Source organism: Homo sapiens, chromosome 11 (genome assembly GCF_000001405.40).
Source record: "Homo sapiens chromosome 11, GRCh38.p14 Primary Assembly".
NCBI lineage: Eukaryota > Metazoa > Chordata > Mammalia > Primates > Hominidae > Homo > Homo sapiens.
Genome location: NC_000011.10, coordinates 74438635 through 74445958, shown reverse-complemented (window position 1 = coordinate 74445958; position 7324 = coordinate 74438635).

Sequence of the window (7324 nt, the reverse complement as noted above, 5' to 3'; positions counted from 1 at the left end):
GGAGTTCCCAGTACATAGCATCTGTTACATGGAATGCATGGAGGTGAGGAAACTCTCTCTCCCCATCGTGCTATACTTTGTCACATGGGTTTCTAATGGGTAATATTTATGTCCTTTGCTTTCAGTAAAGCAGCTCTTCTATATTTTGCTGATTCCTTCCTAACCCCAGTTTCCCTCTACAAATTCCTAAGCCTGAGCTGCAGCAAGGTCAAGAAACAAATCTGTATGACAAACCTAATGTTAAATGTTGGCTCATTCCTCCTTGATTTTGAAGATTCTATTACTGGATCCATGTTGCCTATCTCCTTACTTTCCTTAAGATGAGTTCTCTCCCAGGAGAGACCCAAAGCCCTCACAAAAAATGGACTTTGGGTGAGTTGGGCCTACTAGGTCGAATATGCCCAATTGGTTCCTCCAGGAAGCAGATGCCAAAATGGAGTGAGAAGTGCCAGAAATGTACTGGGGCGGGGAATGCCTGTGAGGGAGCAGGAGTAGATGCGGGAGCCTCAGATGGTGATGCAGATCTGACACCAGCGAAAAAAAGAGGGAAGGAAGAAGGACCAGGCAGGAGGAGCGTCAGGTTTCAATGCAGCTCTGAGAAAGTCTCAGCCAGGCTGATGAGGAGCCCCAGAGCAGAGACTGCCCATTACAGGAGTCCCATGTTGGGCAGGAATGGCTTGACTTTCATACGTCTGCAGAGCTTGGTCAGTGGCAGGGAGAAGGCCAGGGTGAGCATAACCGGGGTGTAAACACTGCAGGAGAGCCCAAAGGTGCTGCTGCCTGAGGCCGGCCACTAACTGCTCTTCTCCCAGCAGGCTCCCTGTGGGAGACCTGAACAGCTCACTCCTGGTGGCTGCCATATCACGAATACCCACACCTGTGTGAATTCCAAAAGTGGACATAATTTAAGCTCAAACGGAGCCCCAAATGTACATTTATTACAATTTTTTGTTGAGTGTACAAAAAGTATTGCACTTGGCACAGCAGCAGCCCCACCCTCACCAGTGGAACAATCGAAGCGAAAAAGGACTAGTCTGGGAAGGTTTCAGGTAAACAAGTGAGTTTTTCTTACCATGATTGTCAACAACAGCCTCCATTATAGATTAACACTGTGTCAAGCTTAGTACGAGAGAACAATTCTCAGGGAGCTTAAGTTTGCAATAAAATATTCCTCACACGAGGCGCTCAGAGCAGACTTTTGAAGAGTTTACATGCCAATCACTGGATGCTCCAAGGAGGGAGGAGCTTCTTAGTAGAACTGGCCCTGGAGGCTACCAGAGAGACCTTGAAATTGATCTGGCAGCCAACTGGGTGGTGCAAGGACATGCTCCACCCCTAGGACCCTGCCAGCCAAGCTGTAGGATTTTTTGAGAGGCAGGCCCAACACCTGTTGTGGCTGCTGGATGAGATTCAAAATATAAGGAGAAAAGACAGAAGAGGAAGGAACTGGAAAAGAGGAATTTGTAGCTAGAAGAAGAAAGACAGCACGCTTTTCAGAACCGTGCCAGAATTCATCCCAGGCTAATCACCTGCCAAAAAAGAGATAGTGTCAGTGGTAGAAAGAACATTGGAGAGGACACTTAAGCTCTGCTGCTAACTCCTCAGCTGACCTTTGTCACTCAATGCCCCTCTGGGCCTGTGCTCCTTGGCTGTAATCTGCAGAGCTAAGCCAGACACCTAAAATTCTTCCATTTGAACAGTCTAGGAATCGAACAACCTTCCTTAAAATAATCTTGGAAGAGCCTAGTATGAAATGGGCGGCGGGGCGGGGGGGGGTTGGCGGGGGAAGGATAAAAAAGAATTTCCTGTGAACTCAGGAGCAATAATATAATACAACCTAATAACCTAACCTAATCATAGCAAGCATTACAACAGGCGGGGGAATCTGGGAATGGGAGCCAGTAACATCTCTAAAGTAGAGGTAATTTCATGATCAAGACATCCAGTGCATTGAAACGTGACGCTGTTCTATCTTTACAGAGTGTGCAGATGGTTGGGAAGGAAAATAGTTCCACCTGTCAGCTGATTCTAAAAGATCTGAGCTTCATATACATTCCGTCAACACATGAACCCCTAATGTCACTAAAGCAAAGAGATGGAACTGTCTCTGTCCTTTCCTGAACGCTCCTCCAGTTTTCTCTTATAAAAGCCGTTTCTACTCCCCTTTAAATCTGCATTCGCAGTTTGTTTTCACCTAGATAAGAATGCTGGGAAGGGAGAGCATACTGTTTTTTTTTCCCCCAGTCCTACTATTTTAGGATTCTAACAACAACAGGGTTGCATGCTCCCTTCTTATTTATTTCTCTCGTTGAGCTCAGAAAATGCCACAGATAAACCAAAACGAAATGAAAAACTGCAGTCAAGAGAAGAACATAATTAGCAGCCAATCAGGAAAAGGCTGTACAATCCCTAGGCCTTTAGATACTTTATCCTCTAGGCTGGGCCCTCCCAGAGAGGATCGGGTTTTCTCTTGGGGTTTCTTTTTGAATTAAGCACCACTGAGGGCTACGGTCCAGAAACACAAACTCTTAATCTAGTCCCTGGTAGACAAACAGGTCTAGGGAGATTGAATAACCTGCAGGGAGAGAGTCCTCTGGGATCCATGGGAGACCAGACTGAAGCAAAGAAAAAAGGGATTGTGGTGTCAGTGAGGACATAGGAGCAGCCACAGGAGGGCTGTGCTGCCTAAATAAATAATGGCATGTTTGGCAGCAGACCCAATTCTCAGACAGGCCTGGAGCCGACAGGTAGGCTGTCTGCTAACACACACTCACCCTTTGGATCTCAGCTTCAATGTTATTTCCTCTGGGAAGCAGGGTGCCACACACAGTTGAACTGGTTGCCTGCTGCACATACCAAGGGTGTGCTGATCACAGAAAATATATTACAGGTTTATATGCTTTTATAAAAATGTCCCGGCAGTTGGTGTTTTAAGGAAAGAGCACTCTTTTTTTCTCTGATTCACAAAAAGGTACTGGACTGGCAGTGACCTTGCTGAGAATCCTTTCCTAATTCTTATCAGAACAGGTTTAGTGCCCCTCCTATCTGTTCCAGAAGGACTCCATCTACCATGGTATTTACCACACTTTATTCTAATTGCCTTTTTACTAGTGTATACACAGTCTAGATTATCAGCTTTTGTGAGTCAGAGGCTGTGTCTCATTTGACACTGTACTCTGGGCCCCAGAACGCTTGGCCCGAGCACAGGCTCAATGGTATTTGTTGAATGAATAAGCAACATATTCTCAGCCATTCCAACGCTCTTGCCTAAGTGGACAGAGAGCTTGTCATAATAGAGTACTAGTCATGTCCAGGGTTTGAGTCCTTGCTCTACCTCTAACTTACTACACGATGTTGGCAAGTCACTTCACCCCAGTATTTTTGATGTAAAATAGGGATAACCCTACCCTGTCCACCTCAGAGGGTCATTATGCGGAGTAGTTTAGAAGTATTACTTGGTAAACTTATTAAAATATTGAACACATGGGAAGTATAGGCCATTCCAGGAAACTTGGACTACAAGGGGTCCAGGACCAGGAGTGACCTTACATCTGAACATAGTTAAGTAGTCACCTCCGGCAGAAAACTAATGATTTTTGGGTCAAGCAATACTTTTTTGGTTGCTAAGGGTAGAAATCTCAAAATGTCAAAAGACACATTTATTGTTTCATATAAGTAAGGGTAAAGTTATAGCTGGACCTCCAGGACAACTGGAAATAGGCACAATAATGCCACAAGGTAGATTGCATGCTTGTCCTCCCCCCGATCCCCACCCCACCTCCCACCCCACCACACCCCATCTGTCAGCCTACCAACTACAGACTGGCTTCCTCCACACTGCAAGGGATGTGGCTACCGATACCTCCTGGCTCCATCTCACACTTTTGCTATCTGAGGGGGACTGAGCCCTTCCCCTTACCTCTAATTTGCAAAATTTCTCTTTGGCCCTGGCTGGAAGAGACATGTTCATCCCTGTGCCAAGGGTGAGAGATTCTGTGATTTCCAGCTCCTACTGGAACTATATAGTTGAAGTGGGGGATCAGTGTTCAAAAAGAAGGGAGGTACTGTTCTAAGAAAGGCTAGGTACTAGGATTTCCACTACAATTTTCTAAAGATCATTCCCCCACTGAGACCTCCCATTAGCAATCAATTAGCTTTGGTTTGGGCTGTGCTCCTCTAGGACCATTCTTTCATATACCCTGAGTTCCTTATAATAGAAGGAAGGGAACAGAAGGGTGCCAAGTGCAGGAGAGGGACAAGCAACTAAGTAAACTCACAGTGTGCTTTCCTCTGCAGACCTGCAATAAATAACCAGAGAAGTGAGCCCTGTGTCTAGAAAAATTTATTCCCTTCCTAGGATTGATAGCAAATGACTTCACCTGCTCAAAGTCAGGTCCTAAATTCCTCTGTGCTTTGGCCAGGTTGCGGCTTGAGAGCAATGTTTGTGAACTACATGTCTGACCACTTTCACTTCTTGTACTGTAGCATCCCCTTCTTGTCTCCTTTTAAGCAGTCCAACTCACATATCTTATAAATGGACAAGCCAGAGTCCCAGAGAGGGAAAATTTATTATCTAACATCATACACTAAAAGGGAGTTCATGGTTAAGACAAGATCAGATTGTAGGTCATCTGACTTGTGTTTTTTCTATTATACCATCCTTTGTTTTTCTGCATGTTTATAACCTAAGAGATGTAGTTCACCTCTTAATCTCACCTTCTTCTGGTTCTTTTGTCTTTCTGGGTCACTTTTTAAGAGGATTTATCAAGGTCAGCTTCACTATACTCCTATTTAGTCACCTCTGGATCCCAGTCAGCTAGCAGTTTTCTTATCCTCTGCTATCAGGAATGAAATTCCAATACCAGAGATCCCATCCTACTGATGCAGTAGGATGCTCTTTAGCAGGAGTTCACTATTTAAGCTAGTCTTAACTTGTAGCAAAATTGCAGGCATCATCCTAGCTAACTCCTACTTACCTTCCAGATATCCATTTAGATCACTTTATTTCAGAAGGTAATATATAAAATGTATACCAAGAATACTTTCTATAAGCAACTCATAGTACCCCATACGTATTAGTTCATTCTCACACTGCTAAAGATAACTACCTGAGACTGGGTAATTTATAAAGAAAAGAGGTTTAATCAGCTCATGCTTCTGCAGGCTGTATGGGCTTTTGTTTCTGGGGAGGCCTCAGGAAACTTACAATGACGGCAAAGGGGAAACAGGCCCATCTTCACATGGCCAGCAGGAGAGGTGGTGGGGAGGTGCTAAAACAACCAGATCTTGTGAGAACTCTATCATGAGACAGCACTAGGGGGATGGTGCTAAACCATTAGAAACCACTCCCATGATTTAGTTACCTCCCACCAGGCCCCACCTCCAACATTGGGGATTACAATTTGACATGAGATATGGGTGGGACACAGAGCCAAACCATATCATTTCAGATGGTAAAATATAAAATATGTATGAGGAATACTTTCTATATGCAACTCATAGTACTCCACACCTCCCCCAGTAAAATATTTAGCACTCTAGACAATCATTGCCTGCTTACTGTGTCTCTTTTCTTCATTCTACTATAATTTCTATAAGAACAGAGGTCATTCCTATTCCCTTTACCGTTATTTCCTCCAGGAAATGTTGCATAAATATTTGTTGAATGAATGACTAGAACACTGACTCTGTGGTTCCTAATTATTTGCACAGTAGCCATCAAATGACAAAAGGATGTGAAATACTTTATAGGTGAAGACATTATGTAGCTGTTGAGGATTTGTTATCCTAAAAGCACTCATTATACCATCTATCACTATAATAAAAGCCTTCTCTGCTTGGAGATGCCAAAAAAAATATTCAGTAGTCCATCCACGAAAGTTTCCCAGACTCTTACATGATTGGAAGGGCTGTGCTACTGCCATAGGCAAACTTCATCACCAGCATCAAACACTGCCTTTGTGACATTTCCCTCACCTCAATGGCAGGTTACACTCTGCCTCTGGTCTCAGTCCACTTGGCGTCCCTGTCCTAAGTTTTTCCATATGTTACCTCATTTACAACAAGGTTGTGAGAAAGGTTCTATTTCTACTACCCTTTAACAGATGGGAATATCAAAGCACAGGGAGGTTACATGACTTGTTCAAAGTCACAAAGCAACTGAGTGGTGGAGCCAGGATTCAAACCCAGCTCTTGCTCTGAATCACTACGCTATATAAGACTCTTCTTTTGGCTGGGTGCTGTGGCTCACGCCTGTATTCCCAGCACTAGGGAAGGCTGAGGTGGGTGGATCACTTGAGCTCAGGAGTTCAAGGCCAGCCTGGGCAACATGGTGAAACCCCATCTCTATTAAAAAATACAAAAATTAGGCCGGGCGTGGTGGTTCACACCTGTAATCCCAGCACTTTGGGAGGCCAAGGCAGGAGGATCACCTGAGTTCGGAAGTTTGAGACCAGCCTGACCAACATGGAGAAACCGCATCTCTACTAAAAATACAAAATTAGCTGGGTGTGGTGGCACATGCCTGTAATCCCAGCTACTCAGGAGGCAGAGGCAAGAGGATCCCTTGAGTCCAGGAGATAGTAGTTGCAGAGAGCCACAGTCATGCCACTGCACTCCAGCCTGGGCAATATATCAAGATCCTGTCTCAAAAAAAAGAAAAAAGAAAATAAAAAGACTCTTCTATTACTTCTACAGCAACCTTCTGTCTTGTTTAGACTGCCTTCTTCCTGTTATCCGAATAGACCTTGGACTTTTCCAATTCTGTGTGTCTGGAATATGATTTTATGAAGAATTCAGAGGAGACTTATAGATTATTTTATCAAAGACTTCTATGTTATAGATGACAAAATGGTGGTATGTGTTATGGAAAGAACATCAGCTTTGGAACAAGGAGGCCCTAAAGTCAAAGTCTGGCTCTTTCAATTATCGATTACTATATAACAAACCACTCTATAACACAGACTCTTAGAACAGCAGCAATTTCTTGTTTCTCATGATTACATGGACTGGCTGGGCAGCTTCTCTGTTGGTATCACCTGAGCTTGCTCACACTGCTGCATTCAGCAGGAGGGCTGGCTGGGCTGGAAGGTTGCCCATGACCTCACATATCTTGCTTGACTGGGGTGACTTCTATGTGGACTGTCATCCTCCCAAAAGCTAGACCAGCTTTTTAAAATATTGGTCTTGATGAGAAGAGCTGAAAAGAATTTGTGGCTTTATTTAATCTATCTCATTTCCTAGATGGCTTACCTTGGACAATTTACTTTTTCTCTCCTGAGATCAGTTTCTTTGTGTTTACAATTGAGAGAGCAATCCCAATTGT